Source organism: Homo sapiens, chromosome 19 (assembly GCF_000001405.40).
Source record: "Homo sapiens chromosome 19, GRCh38.p14 Primary Assembly".
Lineage (NCBI taxonomy): Eukaryota > Metazoa > Chordata > Mammalia > Primates > Hominidae > Homo > Homo sapiens.
In genome coordinates this window covers 42,901,191-42,918,323 of record NC_000019.10, presented here as the reverse complement: position 1 = coordinate 42,918,323, position 17,133 = coordinate 42,901,191, and the positions used below count along the sequence as shown (strand labels likewise).

At 44.1% G+C, this 17,133-nt stretch overlaps 1 protein-coding gene across 2 annotated transcripts; it reads left to right on the top strand.

The window, feature by feature from the left end:
- Positions 1 to 429: 429 nt before the first annotated feature.
- On the top strand, positions 430 to 16,238 carry PSG6 (pregnancy specific beta-1-glycoprotein 6). 2 transcript variants are annotated; one of them, NM_001031850.4, is made up of 6 exons: positions 430 to 595; positions 1,837 to 2,199; positions 7,466 to 7,744; positions 10,470 to 10,748; positions 11,148 to 11,402; positions 15,878 to 16,238. In NM_001031850.4, the coding sequence occupies exons 1-6, from the start codon at positions 532 to 534 to the stop codon at positions 15,910 to 15,912; spliced, it is 1,275 nt and encodes a 424-aa protein (NP_001027020.1). In that variant the 5' UTR covers positions 430 to 531; the 3' UTR covers positions 15,913 to 16,238. The 2 variants fall into 2 exon arrangements, with proteins under 2 accessions (NP_001027020.1, NP_002773.1); NM_002782.5 differs by lacking the exon at positions 15,878 to 16,238 and adding an exon at positions 14,603 to 14,708.
- The last annotated feature ends 895 nt before the right edge of the window (positions 16,239 to 17,133 follow it).

The following is a 17,133-nucleotide window of genomic DNA, read 5'->3' as shown; positions in this document are numbered from 1 at the left end:
ACATCACTGTGAAAGGGACCTGGTGCAGCTCCAGCCTCCTGCACTGAAGGGGAGAGCCAGATGGGGATGAAAGAGGGCAAATGGCATGAATGTGCACCCCGACCCAGAGCCATGGGGACAGCAGGAGGCTGAGGCCCAGGACTGTCCTCGCCCAACCTGCAGGGTATGTGTGTCACTGTGTGGGTCTGTGTGTGTGTGTGTGTGTGTGTGTGTGTGTGTCTGCACAAAGTGTGTGTTGAGGTTTGGTGAAAGAATCACTGCTGAAAAAGGCAGAGGCCTCCACAATTCCCAGGGACCTGAAACACAGACAAAAGGAAAAACAGAAGGAGGGACAAGGAGGCAGGACTGAGAGAGGAGGGGACAGAGAGGTGTCCTGGGCCTGACCCCGCCCATGAGCCTGAGAAGTGCTTCTGCCCTGGGAAGAGGCTCAGCACAGAAGGAGGAAGGACAGCACACCTGACAGCCCTGCTCAGGAAGTCTCTGGATCCTAGGCTCATCTCCACAGGGGAGAACACACAGACAGCAGAGACCATGGGACCCCTCTCAGCCCCTCCCTGCACTCAGCACATCACCTGGAAGGGGCTCCTGCTCACAGGTGAGGAGAGGACTTCCTGGGAGAGGACAGGAGGAGGAAGCAGAGTGACTGGATGGGGTATCCTGGAGAGGATGGGGTTCTAAAAAATAAAAGAAGCCAGCACTTAGGGAGGCTGAGGTGGGTGGATCACGAGATCAGGAGTTCAAGATCAGTCTGGCCAACACAGTGTAGACGTGTCTCTACCAAAAAATACAAAAAATTAACCAAGTATGGTGGTGTGCTCCTGTAATCCCAGCTTTCGGGAGGCTGAGGCAGGATAATCACATGAACCCAGGAGGCAGAAGTTGCAGCTAGCCGAGACAGCACCACTGCACGCCAGCCTGGGTGACAGTACGAGACTCCATTTCAAAAAAAAAAAAAAAAAAGAATAAAAAGAAGAAAGAAAAAAAGGGAAAGAAGGCTCTGTTGGAGCCTGGATAGGGGAAAATACACCAGAGAGGGACAGGGGTCAAAATAGGAAAGTCACATTGAACCGGAATTGGTAAGAGGTAGTAAAATCTTAAGTGTTCTGTTTTCCTGATTAATCATCAGGGGCCACCACATTTTGAAAAATGATAATAATGACTATATCAGATGACACCTCAAATAAAAATGTAACCAGGGCATGAAACACTTTCCTCAGCAAAAAACCTCAACAATTGGGGGAAAAAAAACACCCAGGGCATGGAGGGCCCTGAGAACTCTCACATCTACAGGAGTCTGCATCCTGTTCCAGGCACTGGGGTGCAACCAACATGACAAAAGTCTCTGTCCTCACAGAGCTCACACTCTCATGGGGAGGAAGACAGACATGCAAAGAGATATAGAATGTGAGGTCAGGTGTTGACAAGAACCCTAGAGGGAGCAGAGCAGGGAAAGGTCAGAAAGGGAAGACCCAGGGTCTCTGAAGCAGGCATCAGGAAAGAAGTCTAAGGATGCCCTGATGTGAGCAGGACCTGAGGGCAGTGTGGAGGGGGCCGTGCGGACCCCTGGGGAAGAGGATTGCAAACAGAAAAATGCCAAGGTCAGGAGTGTTGAAGGAATGGGGGTCATGCTGCTGACCTTGACCTAGTAGGACAGTAGGACACACACACATACACACACACAAACACACATGCCCTTTTGTGTGTGTGTGTTTGTATGTGTGTGTGTGCATATCTTCAAGGCTGATGATTGAAGAGACCTTCTCAGGACACAGGGCCCCATCTTTTCACCCCAATACATAGGTCCAAATATTAACTGATGCTGTCTCTACCTCCTAGCATCACTTTTAAACTTCTGGAACCTGCCCACCACTGCCCAAGTAATAATTGAAGCCAAGCCACCCAAAGTTTCCGAGGGGAAGGATGTTCTTCTACTTGTCCACAATTTGCCCCAGAATCTTACTGGCTACATCTGGTACAAAGGGCAAATGACGGACCTCTACCATTACATTACATCATATGTAGTACACGGTCAAATTATATATGGGCCTGCCTACAGTGGACGAGAAACAGTATATTCCAATGCATCCCTGCTGATCCAGAATGTCACACAGGAGGATGCAGGATCCTACACCTTACACATCATAAAGCGAGGCGATGGGACTGGAGGAGTAACTGGATATTTCACTGTCACCTTATACTGTGAGTGATTCCGCATGATCCCTGGGTGTTGGGGGGCAGGGGTCATTTCTACTTCACACACACAGAATTGTCAGGCCTGGACTCTGCCTGTGTCACTCTCTGCATTATGTCCCATGCTGGGGTTTGGGCATTTAGTGCAGGACACACACAGAGGAGACACATTTCAACAGATCAGAATTCCTTTCCCGCATCCAGACCCTGCAGACACTCGCTGCAGAGGAAGGACAGTCTGATGGGGGGACTCAGCAGGAGGAGATCAGTCTCAGCCAAGCACCTCATGCCCTCTTCATAAATTTGACCCTGAGAAAGACCCTGGAAAACTGAGTAGGGCTTGGCCTGAGGGGCCCACTGAGATACCCTCAGAGAACCTCAGCTCTGGAAGCCTCAATCCCAGACCCCTGTCCCTAAATCCTTGCTCCAGGTAAAGCTGAGGAGCCTGTGCCAGGACTGGGTTGTGGCTTCTTTGGCAGGGCTTACTGGGACCAAGGATTTACCAGCTGTCTGAGGACTGTGTCTCCTGGAGCTGTTCACCAGCCAGGGCTCAGTCCTCAGAGCCTCATCTGGGCAAGGACAGAGCTTTCTTCACCTGACACTCAGAGTGGAGAGGACAGAAAGACAAGCTTTGTAGGCCATCAGCCAACTGCCTTAGGAGGCCTAGGACACTCCATAGAAAGTCTAATATCCCCAGAAGCAGAAACAGAAGAGAGAAGATGCACCAGGTAGCCGTTTGTCCACAGGGATCTGACGCAAAGGTGCTTTCTCATGGAAGCAAATTAATAATAAATGCTGTTTGTGTGAACACCTCCACTGTGCCAAGCATTAAGTCAGTTGACTGTGAATACTTTAACATTTATTCACAGATAGCATGAAAAGCCACAGTCCATTTGCCATTTAGCTCATTTGATTGAGAGAAAACTGAGGCACAGGAAGGCACAGTCACTGAGCCACAGTCACACAAACACAAAGGGGAGATCGGGGTCACATGAGGTCTGTCTGCAGCCACAGGCCCATCCTCTCCTCTACCAGAAGTGAGGGCTTACTGGGTTCCAAGGACCCCATAGTCATTTATTGACTCAAATCCTCTCTTCTTAGGCATCCAAACCTCAGAGGAGTGAGAGCAAATGGTCAGCTGATTAGTCTGTACTCCAGAACTAAATCACTGGCTTCAACCGCCAGAGTCAGTGCAAAAAAAATGTCCAGGTCTCCCCCTCAGATCTTAACCTCCATCACTGAATGTGAAATCCTGTGTTTCCCAAGTGTCCATGTCACCGTCATGAGAGGATCAAGGAGAGGACCTTGTTTTCTTTCCCCACTCACACCCTGCCTCAGCACAGGCCCAGTGAGAGAGACACACTCAGGAGCTCTCACATAACAAATGAAGGAATGGAATGAAGAAATGGATGATCCAAAACCTCTTTAGAGACTGGATCTTGGAATCAGAATCCTAGGAGGTTCTAGCCACACCTGTCCCTTGTCCTTCAGAGGCTGACACCCATGTTTCATCCCCCCACTACCTCTTGACCCTAAAGCCACCCCACCTCATGCAACTCTGAAGTTCTTTGGCCACCGGAGGGTTCTCAGGGCTCTTTGGTCCTGGACTGTGGAGCTGGGGGCACCTGGTCCCTGGGGTTTTTGAAGTCAGTGTCTCCCTCACTGCTCACTGCCATGGTGTCTCTGCCTCTCTCTGCTTCTCTGTGTCCCTCATCTTCCTCCCACTTCATTCTGACTGGCAAGCCCTGTCCTGCACAGCTTCTTCCTCCAACCCTAGGCCTTCCCCAGACACTCCCTCTAACTAGGCTGGCTGTTCTGTTCCCTTCCCGCTAACACTGTGGCCTGGCCCACCTCCCAGGAAATAGGAAAGGTGCAGAAATCACCTGGAGTTGCCACTCCTGCCAGGCTTCCTCTCGAGCCAATGTCCCCAGGTCACTAAGAGAAACCTTCCACTGTATTCCCATCCAGGGCTCTTTCCCTTTGTGAGGCTGACCTGTGGACAAGACCATGGGACAGGGATAGGCAGTTCCCCCATCCACCCTTGTAATTGCCAGACAAGTTCCTCTGGCCTCCTGCACACAAAAAAATATAAAATAAAATAAAATTTATTGAAATGGTGGTTTGCAGTAAAGAAAGATTTTAAGAACTCCAAGTCTGCCAAACAGGAGGGTGGAGGTTTATTATTACTCAAATCAGCCTCCCCAGTGGATCAGGTGTTAGAGATTTTCAAGGATAGTTTCAGGGGCACAGGACTAAAAAATGAGTACTGCTGATTGGTGATGGAATCATGCGGGCGGAGGGAAATGATCTGTTAGTGCTTGAATCTGCCTCTAGGTAGGGGCCACATGACTGGCTGAGCCATTAGGCATAGGTATGGATGAGGTCAGCCGGTTGTCAGAAGGCAAAAGAATGAGAAACATTTCAAAAGACCAATCTCACGTTCTACAATAGTGATGTTATCTATAGGAGCAATTATAGGAGCAATTAAGCCCATAGGCTCATTTCACCCATTTCACTAGTGACTCCATCCTCAACCTGCTATGGAGCTCACATTCTCCGGTCACTTTCTAGAGACTTCTGGCTTCCTGTCAGGCATAAAACAAGCTTGAAATTTGTCACTCGGTTCTAACACTAAGTAAAAAGCTGAACAAACTCAAAAGTCAACAACTCATTAAAATCCTTCAGAGATGGCTGGGCACAGTGGCTCACGCCTATAATCCCAGCACTTTGGGAGGCTGAGGCGGGCACAAGGTCAGGAGATAGAGACCATCCTGGCTAACATGGTGAAACCCCGTCTCTACTAAAAATACAAAAAATTAGCTGGGCATGGTGGTGGTCACCTGTAGTCCCAGCTACTTGGGAGGCCGAGGCAGGAGAATGGCATGAACCCAGGAGGTGGAGCTTGCAGTGAGCTGAGATCATGCCACTGCAGCTGGGGTGACAGAGCGAGACTCTGTCTCAGAAAAAAAAATGCTGTTAGAGAAATGAAGAATGCTTTTGATGCTTACTGATAGACCGCACAGAGCTGAGGAAAGAATCCCTAGCTTGAGAATGTGTCAATAGAAACTTCCAAAACTGAAACAGGAAAGCTCAAAAAGAGTGGGGAAAAAAAGCGGAACAACATATTCAACTTCATATTTAATATTTTGTTTTGACAATAGCAATTTTTAAATTTTGTAGTTGTGGGACAACTACAAAGGCTGTCACATACACTTAACGGGAATACTTGTGGTTTGGGGACCAGATGGAGGTGGCCAGGTAGGTCCTATCTCATGGTTTTACTGCCTGTGCCACATACAACTATTTCCTCATGATGATGCCGTTTTCATAAGTTGGAGTTCTTCGTGTGGGGAGACACAAGAGCCATTGGCATCTCACTTAGACTCTTCCTAATTCACACAAACTTAAATTTTAGTGGTGTTTCCTGACCTTAAGAGAAAATGAAGAAGACATTTCACATACCTGTTTTGGGGTCCTCCCCATGTTTTGTAACTCTGCACAGAAATTAGAAGCAGGTTCTTTCTATATTTACTAACATAACACACATCACTTCTTTTAATTTGGCATCCTTCCTCCTTTTATGTAATTGACACACTAACCAGTTCGGTCCTTTTAACAGGACTCTCTCTACTTAAGGAGTTGCTAATTTCAAATCACCTTTGGCATCTTTCTTTGAGCATAATGTGATCCTGCTGGAATTCATGGCACACCTAAACCTTATTTTGGTCTCAAGAGAAATATGACTACCAGCAATTGATCTTAGATGTTTGGACCATCAGTAAAAATTTCCACTTATGAAAACATTTTAAGGTTTCCTCCAAATTTTTTTTGTTACTAGAGTCAGAATATAACATGAGGTCTAAACTCCTGACAACTTTTTATGGGAAAATTACAGTATTACAAATTGAGCATCGGAAATCCAGAAATCCACAATCTGAAATGCTCAAAACTCAACACTTCTGACCACTGATGTGATGCTAAAAAGAAGTGCTCACTCGCGCATTGTGGATTTTAAATTTTTCAGATTTGGGATGCTAAACCAGTACATATACTGCAAATATTCCAAAATAAAAAAAATTAGAAATCCAAAACACTTTGTTTTAAGCTTTCTGCATAAGGAGCACTGTATCTGCATGAAGTATAGGCACGAGGCTGCACAGGAGATCTCTAGAACCTCCTCATCCTGCATAACAGAAACCGCACACCCACGGAACAACGCCCTATACCCGTGATTTCAGTTGCTGCAAACTACTATTCTAATCTCTGATTCCCTCTGGAATCCACTGATATGAGGTACATAGAGTAGTCAAACTCAGAATCAGAGAGTAGAATGTCTAATAAGAGAAAGTATCTGCAAGACTTCTTCCCAAATATTGGTCTAATATCCACCAAACACATAAGGTCCCTGAGGGCCAGACTTCTGTCATCTGTTCATGTTTGCCCTTTCCACCAGTCAGTTCTGCATTTGCAAACATCAACATGTATTTCTAGAAAGATCCATATGGTCCTCAACTGCCCTCTACAGGGGGAAGGGAGCATCATGGACCCAGAACAGGGATCATGGTCTTGGGCCAAACCTATCAGCTCTTGCCTGTCCCTTTCACTCTTTGTAGGTCATTCCTTGGACTCTGCTCTATCTTTAGAGTCATTGGCTCAACTCAGTCACTATGAGACACCTGGAAAACTGCCCCACCTTGTGGCTCCACTGCCTGATGACTGAACTGACCTCCAGGCCTGACTCTGGTCTCCCCTGTGTTATTTCTGCTGAAGTACCCAGTTCCAGGCCAGGCTTTCTAATACCCAAAGGGCTTAAGGACAATGGGAAGTTCCATCATCCATCTCTAGGATGTCCTTGGCAAGGGAAGCTGATGAGAAAACATACCTCAGGGGGCAAAGTGAGACTGAAACTAACAAGATTCCAGCACTGCATGCCCCAAGTAAGGACCAAAAGGTGGGCCAGGCAGGCAGTTGGAGACGGAGGGACTCAGAGAGGCACCAGGGGCTGTGACTGCTGGTCCTGTGTCTTTCCATGACCCAATGCTGCTGCTCAATTCACATTTGAGAAAGTCCATGCTTCTCCTACATAAAGCAGGCAGCCTCACAATCACTGAGCCCTCAGGTTGCCATGCATCTGTCTTGTAACACACACACCTGCCATGGGCTTTTAAGGACTTGGGTGGGCTGAGAGGTTGGAAATGCCAACTCTGATTGAAAAATGCCTTTGGAGGAATCAAAGGTGCCACACAGGGCAATCTTCTCTCTGTTTTCTGCACAGCGGAGACTCCCAAGCCCTCCATCTCCAGCAGCAACTTAAACCCCAGGGAGGTCATGGAGGCTGTGCGCTTAATCTGTGATCCTGAGACTCCGGATGCAAGCTACCTGTGGTTGCTGAATGGTCAGAACCTCCCTATGACTCACAGGTTGCAGCTGTCCAAAACCAACAGGACCCTCTATCTATTTGGTGTCACAAAGTATATTGCAGGACCCTATGAATGTGAAATACGGAACCCAGTGAGTGCCAGCCGCAGTGACCCAGTCACCCTGAATCTCCTCCGTGAGTATCTTCTGTTCCTCTGTGAGCCAGGCTGCCATCCCAAATACAAGTGGCCAGAGGCCAGGCCTCTCAGTCCCTCTCAGGTCCAAGTACAGAGACCTTTATCCCTGAACATCAAAGCTGGCCATGACTTTCTGCTCCAGGCAAACCAGAGTAGGCCTAGGCTTGATCAACAATAAGAGAGAAGAGGCTTCTCCTGTCATGGGAGACTCAGGTTCCACAGCTTGTGATGGAAGAAACAGGTGAATGTCTCAGGCTCCAGATCAGTGAACACAGCGGGGATTTGGCTGGGACTTCAGTGTTGCAACTTGGCTCACAGGGTCACTGTGACTGTGTCCCTTCCACAGACCAGGATTTTCCCTTCCCTCTGACAATATCGCCTGTGACATTATTCTCTTTGCTCCGCATGGCCTGGATGCTCCCACCGTTTCTTCCTCATACACCTATTACCATACAGGGGAAGTCCCCAAGCTCTCCTGCCTCACAGACTCTCACCCACTGGCAGAGCATTCTTGGCTGATTGATGGGAAGTTCCAGCAATCAGCACAAGTGTTCTTTATACCCCAAATCACTAAAACATATAGAGGGGTCTATGTCTGTTTCATCCATAACTCAGCCACTGGTGGAACAAATCTCATAATCAAGAGGATCATAGTCCCTGGTAAGTGGATCCCTGGAGCATTGGCACCATGTTTTCCAGTAAAGTCTATCTAGCTGTCAGGGAAGAGCCACCTGCTCTCTGCAAAGGGAGAGGGAAAATCAAAACCCAGGAAAGGGAATATGTTTCTGCTCCAAAACCACCAGCTTCTGCCTGTCCCCTTCACTCTTTCTAGATCATTCTTTAGACAATACACTAACAATGAACAATCTGAAAGGAAGTTAAGGAAAGAATTTCAATTCACATTAACATCAAAAGGAATAAAATATTTTGGAATAAGTTTAACCAAAAAGGTCAAATGATTATACCCTGAAAACTACAAAACATTGCTGAAAGAAATTAAAGACGATATCAATATATGGAAACACATTTCATTTTCATGGATTGGAAGAAGCAATATTGTTAGAAAGGCAATACTACCCAATTGAGTTGCAGATTCAATGCAACCCCTACCAGAATCCCAGTAACATTTTTTGCAGAATTTAGAAAACTCTGTCCTAAATCTGAGCTGACAGGCTCTTCTTAATGACTGCCACAACACAAACACTGAGAAAAAGAAGCAACCAGAAAAGGTGGAAAGTTCTGATGACATAGAAAATAGCAATCAGCCTTTCTCACATCCCAAAGCCTTCAAAAATATACGAGTGCAGCATGGCCACTATGGAATTCACCGAAAACTAATCACCAAGCTAGAAACATGGTGAGAGAAAAAAAAGGGCAAGAATATATCTGGCTTATCACCTCCCACTTTTGCCTACTAATCTGATGCTGAAAAGAAATGCTCACTGAAGCATTTTACATTTTGAATCTTTCAGATTTGGGATGCTAAACCAGTAAGTATATGACAAATATTTGAGAATCAAAAAATATCAGAAATCCAAAACACTTTTTGTCCTAAAACTTATGCATAAGAGATAATCTGTGTGAACTATAGGCATCAAGCTCTACAGCAGATCTCTAGAACCTCTCCAACTTGTATAACTGAAACTGCACACCCATGAACAACTTCTGATTCTCCCCACTCCCAGCTCCTGGCTTCCAGCAGCCTCGTCTCATATTCAATCTGGAATCAACTTACATGAGGTCCCTAGATTAGTGGAACCCATGGAATCAGAGAGTAGAATGTCCAATGAAAGAAAATATTTGCAAAACTTCTCTCCAAATTTGTCTCATATCCATCAAACACACATGGTCCATGAGGACTAGATTTCCAGCAGTTCATTCCCACCCTTTCCACCACTCAGTTCTGCATTTGCAAATGTCCACATGTATTTCTAGAAAGATCCACATGGTCCTCACCTGCCCTCTGCAGAAGGAGAGGAAACTTAAAGAACCCAGGACAGGGAACATGCTTCTGCTCCAAAGCCACCAGCTCTTGCCTGTCCCCTTCACTCTTTCTAGATCATTCCTTGCACTCTGCTCTATCTTTAGAGGTCACTGGTTCAAGTAAGTCATCATGAAACACCTGCAAAAAAACTGCCCCACCTGGTGCCTCTAGTGCCTGATGACTGAACTGACCTACAGGCTTGACTCTGGTCTTCCCTGTGTTATTTCTGCTGAAACATCCAGTCCCAGGCCAGGCTGCTCAGTATCTGCAGGGTTTCAGGACAATGGGAAGTCCCATTATTACTCATCTCTAGAATGTCCTTGGAAATGGAAGCTGCAGAGAAATCACATCTAGGGGGGCAAAGTAGGATGTAATTTGGAAGGGGCCCAGCAGTTGCACATTCCAGGTAAGGAACCCAGGGTGAGCCAGCCAGTCAACTGATTATGGAGGGACTGGGAGGGGTACCAGGGGCTGTGACTCCCACTGACGTGTCTGTCCATGACCCAACACTGCTGCTCAATTGACACTTGAGAAAGTCTGTGCTTCCCTAAGACAGAGCAGGAGGCCTCACAGTCTTTGAGCCCTTAGATCATCATACATCTGTCTTGTGACACATGCACCAGCTACTGGCTTTCAAGGACTCATGTGGGTTGACAGGTGGGAGATGCCAACTCTGAATGAAGGATGCCTGTGGAGGAATCAAAGGTGCCACACAGGACAATCTTCTGTTATCCACACAGCGAAGCTGCCCATGCCTTACATCACCATCAACAACTTAAACCCCAGGGAGAAGAAGGATGTGTTAGCCTTCACCTGTGAACCTAAGAGTCGGAACTACACCTACATTTGGTGGCTAAATGGTCAGAGCCTCCCGGTCAGTCCGAGGGTAAAGCGACCCATTGAAAACAGGATACTCATTCTACCCAGTGTCACGAGAAATGAAACAGGACCCTATCAATGTGAAATACGGGACCGATATGGTGGCATCCGCAGTAACCCAGTCACCCTGAATGTCCTCTGTGAGTATCCTTTGTTCCTCTGTGGGCCAGGACACCAGCTTAACTCCAAACGACCAGAGGCCAGGCCTCTCAGTCTCTCTCCGGTCCAAGTATAGACAACTTTACTTCTGGACATCAGACCTGGCCATGACTCCCTGCCCTGGGAAATCCTGGGTAGGCACAGCCTTAACCAAGAATATAAGGGGAGGGGCGCTCTTGTCATGGGACACTAGGGGCCCACAGCTTGTAATGAGAGAAACAGGGGAATACCTCAGGCTTGGGCTTAGTAAACATAGATGGGATTTGGCTGTCACTTGAGGTTGTGTCTTGGTTCAGAGGGTCACTGTGTCCCTTTAAGAGACCAGGAGCATCCCCTTCCCTTGGATGACATCACCTGTGGCTTTATTCTCTTTCCTCCAGATGGTCCAGACCTCCCCAGAATTTACCCTTCATTCACCTATTACCGTTCAGGAGAAAACCTCGACTTGTCCTGCTTTGCGGACTCTAACCCACCGGCAGAGTATTCTTGGACAATTAATGGGAAGTTTCAGCTATCAGGACAAAAGCTCTTTATCCCCCAAATTACTACAAATCATAGCGGGCTCTATGCTTGCTCTGTTCGTAACTCAGCCACTGGCAAGGAAATCTCCAAATCCATGATAGTCAAAGTCTCTGGTAAGTGGATCCCAGCATCCTTGGCAATAGGGTTTTAGGTGGAGTCTATCTGGCTTTCAGAGAAGAGTCAGGAAAACATTTGTATTCCCAGACTGTGTCCCATGGGCACAAGCAAATCCCAAATTCTCCTCCTGAACCCTCCCAACTTATCTCTACAGACTCTCTTCTGCTTGTTTTTCTGTTTTCTCATGGCTGACCTTGTGTCTGGCCTGAGAAAGGTAGGGAGGGGGCTTTATCAGCCCTGAGCCCTATGTGGTAGAAGAGGCTTCACAGAGGGACAAGAAGGAGAGTCCTCAAGATCAAGTTGCTTCTCGCTGTCACGAACACATCCCCTTCTGCCATGTCTTTGTTTTCTTGTACCTATTCCATGAGCTACAAGGAACATCTGAGGCTTTGAAACAAGCTCACACTTTTCCCCCAAATGAGAGGAGGAAGCCCTTTGGGTGAGGGAGGAGCAGCTCAGACTCTGCTTCCTGCTCTGCTCCGGGCTCCTCTGGTGACTGGCCTGGCCCTGCCTGACTCCACCTGGGGTGGAACCAACATGTGTGGAGAAAGGGCCCTGGTGGCCTGTCCTGAAGTTGGCTAAATCGAGCTGCCAGTTGAAGCCAAGCCTCCCCCGGGCCAGGCTGCAGGGAAATAAGAAGAGAGGGAGCTTCAGGGCTGACTCCTGAGCTGCATCCTGGCTCTGAAGTCACCAGCTGTATGAGGCTTTGGGCACAGCACGTGGGACACAGCACGGAGGACAGTGACTGATGCAGAGCTAGAGAAATAGGGAGATTCACCCCTGGGGCTCTGCATGGCAGGAAAGGGGCAGTGCCAAAAAGTGTGTAATTATAGAGAGGGCAAGACCACGAGACACTTTATATATATCTAATATTAGACTTACCATTAACTAAGTGTGCAATTTAGTGTTGTGTAACTATCACACTATCCATTTCCAGAACTTTTTCCTCTTACCATATTAAACCTCTGTACCCAATAAACAGTAACTCTCACTCCTTCTCCCCCTAACCCTTAACACCCACCATTCTACTTTCTGTCTCTATGTAACTGGCTATTCTAACTATCTTTTATAAATGGAATTATATAATAATTATCCTTTTGTGTCTGGCTTATTTCAGTTGGCATAATATCTTCAAGGTTCATCCATTTTGCACGATGTATTGTAATTTTCTTCCTTGTTAAGGTTGAATAACATTTCAATGTATAGATACATCTCATTTGCCTACCCACTTATCTTTCAATGGACTTTTCAGTTGTTTCCATTTTTGGCTAGTGTGAGTAATGCTTCTCTGTACATCAGTGTACAAATATTTCTTCAAATTTCTTTCAATTCTATAGGGAGTATGTCCAGAAGGGGAATTGCTGGATCAAATGGTAATTTATTGTTTAATTTTTTGAAAAACAGCCACACTACTTTTTACATTGGCTATAACATTTCCCATTCCCATCAGCAATGCACTAGAGCTCCAATTTTTCCATCTACTTGGAAACACCTGTTGTTTAGTGTTGCTGTCATTGTTGTTGTTTATCAAAGCCATCCTAAAGTGTGTGAGGTGTTGTAACATTGTGGTTTTGATTTGCATATCTCTAAGTATTCGTGATGCTGAGGAACTTTGCATGGGCTATATAAAAGGTTTTGATTTTTATGAAGTCTGATTTATCCATTTTATTTGTTGCCTATGCTTTTGTTGTTACAACCAAGAAATCATTGTGAAATCCACTATCATGAAGTTTTTCTTCTAAGAGTTGTATAGTTTTTACTCTTACATTTAGATCTTTGATCTATTGTGGGTTAATTTTTGTACATGGTGTTAGGTAAAGGTTCCACTCTTCTTGCCCTTGGATATCCACCTTTCCCAATATCATTTGGTGAGAACACTGTCCCTTCCCCATTGAACGATCTTGGCACACTCGATGAAAATCATTTGGCCATATATGCAAGCATTTCTTTCTGGGCTATGATATTTCATTAATTTCTATGTCCTCCTTTATGCCAGTACCACACTGTATTGATTACTGGGGCTTTGTAGTAAATGCTGAAATCAGGAAGTGTGAGTCCTCCAGCTTCATTCTTCCTCTTCAAAGCTGTGTGTCTATTTAGAGTCATGAGATGCAATATAAATTTTAGGACAGATTTTTCTTTTTCTGCAAAAATGTCACTGAGATTCTGATAGGAATTGTATTGAATCTGCAGCTCACTTTGGGCAGCACTGTCCTCCTAACAATATTGAGTCTTCCAATTCATGAACACAAAATGTCTTTCAATTTATTGATGTCATCTTTCATTTCTTTCAGCAATACTTTGTAGATTTCAGGTATAATCATTTCACCTCTTTGGTTAAACTTATTCCTAAATATTTTATTCTTTTTGATGTGAATATAAATTGAAATTATTTTTCTTAATTTCCCTTCAGATTGTTCATGGTTAGTGTATTGAAATACAACTGATGTTTGAATGTTGATTTTGTATTGTGCAACATTACTGAATTTATTAATTCTAATAGGTTTGTTCCATCTTTAGGATTTTCTACAAATAAGTTCAAGTTATCTATAAACAGAAATAATTTTACTCCTTCCTTCCAATTTGAATGTCTTTTTAAAAATTCTTCCCTAATTTTTCTGATTAGACCTTTCACTACTATGTTGAATAAAAGTGTCAATAGCAGGCATCCTTGTCTTTTCCTGCTCATACAGGGAAAGTTTTCAGTCTTTCTCTGTTATGTAAGATGTTAGCATTGGGTTTTTCACATATTGCCTTTATGTTGAGGTGGTTGCCTTCCATTCTTAGAATGTTTTTATTATGAAAAAATACTGAATTTCATCAAATGCTTTTATTGATTCAATCTTCTTACTGATTATAGTTATATTCATATTTTTGTGTGTTTCTAGGAGTTTGTCTATTTCATCTAGGTTATCCAATTTATTGGCATACAATTATTTATAGTACTTTCATAATCATTATTTTATTAGAATTGGTAGTAATCGCTTCATTTTTCTTTTTTCTTTTTCTTTTAAGACAGAGAGACAGGCTCTCACTCTGTAGGCCACCCTAGGATGGAATACAGTGGTGTGATTATGGCTCACTGCAGCCTCAACCTCCTGGGCTCAAGCAATTCTCCTTCTTCAGCCTCCCAAGATGCTAGGACTACAGGTGCATGTCAACATGCCCAGCTAATTGGTTTTTTTTTTTTTTGTAGAGACAGCATCTCCCCAGGTTACCTATGCTGGTCCAAACACCTGGTTTCAAGAAATCCTTCTGCTGTGACCTCCCAAAGTGCTAGGATTAAAACATGACCCACCATGCTCAGAGTCCATTTTCATTTATGATTTGAGTAATTTTATCTTTTCTCTTTTTTTCTTAGCCAATCTAGTTAATGGTTGTCAATTTTGTTGATTTTATTTTGAAGAATCAACTTTTGGTTTCAGTAATTTCCTCTATTCTGTTTCCATTCTCCATTTTATTTATATCCACCCTAATACTTATTATTTCCCTCATTCACTGTGCTTGGGTTTAGTTTGTTCTTCTTTCGTATCCTGAAGTATTAAAGTAGGTTGTTGACCTGAGCTCTTTCTTCTTTTTTAATGTAAGAGTTTACAGTTATAAATTTCTTGCACAAGACTCAACTTCTCTGAACCCCTGATTCCTCACCTGAAAATTGCAATAAGAGTACTTTCTTCATACCATTCTTTTAAAGGTTTAATGCAGTCAATGAAACAAGATGCCACACAAAGAGGAACCAATGTCAGCTGCTATATTACTACCATCATCATTAGCCTTGAGGTCAAATAGTCCTAGAATCAAATCTCAGATCCACCTGTCACTAGCCATATGACACCAGGAAAGTTTTTACACCATGCTAAGCTTCTGTCTTTTCATCAGCAAAATGGAAATAATGCCTACCTGACAGGGTTATTGTGTGGATTAAATGAGATACAGGTAAAGTATTGAGCACAGGGCCTGGCACATAGAAAGTGCACCTCAACAGTACCTACCTTTTTCCATAGATATGAAAAAAGCGGTAACACATAAAACACTAGGACATGGTTACTGACTAATTGTGGGAGAGAAAGAAAAAAAGCTAAGTGCAAAGAATCAAGTCTGGTATGTTAGTTTTTACCAACTGAGATGCATCCAAGATGGGATTAGACATACAAGATAATTTATCAGGGAAGACACCTGTGAGGGAATGTGGGGCAGGCATGAAGGTAGTATGGGAGAACCCACAGACCGCTATGCAGAGCTGATTCCTGTGAAAAAGAAAGAGAAAGAAGTTTTAGGTACCAATGCAGTTCTAAGAGTTTTTGCAAGGCTGATGAGGAATCCTCCAACCAGTCACCCATTGGAGTTAAAGAGAGCCTCGGAGAACTAGACTTGCTTTCACACCCTTGCTGGGAGCCTGTGGGAAAGAAGCTTTCTCTGTAAAGGAGGTAGTGAATTTGAAATGCGCTGACCTGGGCCTTCTGTCAATCAGGTCCCTGCCATGGAAACCAGACAGAGTCTCATTAATGGCTGCCACAATAGAGACACTGAGAAAAAGAACAGGTTGATACCTTCATGAAATTCAAGACAAAGAAGAAAAAAACTCAATGTTATTGGACTAAATAATCAAAAGGATAATGTTTTCATAATTTTTTATTGGAAAATGTGCTGATTCTTGGAATGTTTTATTCTCCAGATTTATGAACTTTTTTTCTTCAGCAATTGGTAAAGTATACTTTTGTAAACAAAAATTGAAACATTTGCTTTTGCTCTCTATCTGAGTGCCCCAGAATTGGGAAACTATTCATGAGTATTCATAGGTTTATGGTAATAAAGTTATTTGCACAAGTTCAGTAAGAATCTGCTCTCTTTATAACAGGACACATTTGAAAACATTGGTTATATTACCAAAGCTTTTACTGGGATGTTATATTTGATAATATACCTAGAATAAACCCATAGGGAAAGCAGGCAAAGTCTGAAGTTGGTCTTGGTTTAGTTTCCTAGTCTCAAGAGGTTTTTGGAAGTTTCATCTGAGATTCTTATTAAAAACTTCTAGCAAAGGGACGTTTAAAAAGAGCCTCTATGGTCCACGGCTACTCTTGCCGCACTTAGGTAAAAAATCTGGGCAAGTTCGGTGAGACTCAACCTATTTTGCAAACAAATTCATCCTACTGGAATTATCTTTGGTAAAATTAGAGACTCCTATAGAGAGAAAAACTAGTTGAAAAGAAAAACTGTAGTACACCTGTTACCAGATTGAACCACTACTGTTCATTATCTTTGAGTATTTATAATCCACTGGTAGACTGGACTGGACCCTGAATTCTTTTAGTTCTTCCAATTCAATTTTCTCCAATGAAATCATTAAGAACAAGAGCAGCTCTGTTCCTGAAGCCATATAAGCTGGAGGTGGACAACTCAATGTAAATTTCATGGGAAAACCCTCGTGTCTGAGGTGTGGGCCACTAAAAGCTCACCAAATGTTCAACACCATAACTTAGAGACACTCAAACTGCAAACCACGACAACAAGTTGATGACTTTACACTGTGGACAGCTTTTCTCAAGATGTCAGAACAAGACTATCAATCATGATGAGACTCTTACCTCTCTTAATTTCTCCTTGCTTATGCCTGTCTCCTTTGCTTCCCAGAATAATGCTGTACTTAGGATTTCACAAGAAGTAGCTTCTGAGAGTAAGTTAACAGTGTCAGATATATCATGTCAACCACACTTCATTTATTTT

Coding starts and splice junctions, on each gene's coding strand:
- PSG6 (NM_002782.5), top strand. CDS start 532: ATGGGACCCCTCTCAGCCCCTCCCTGCACTCAGCACATCACCTGGAAG. Junction 596..1,836: donor GAAGGGGCTCCTGCTCACAG/GTGAGGAGAGGA, acceptor TCTACCTCCTAG/CATCACTTTTAAACTTCTGG. Junction 10,749..11,147: donor AGTCACCCTGAATGTCCTCT/GTGAGTATCCTT, acceptor TCTTTCCTCCAG/ATGGTCCAGACCTCCCCAGA.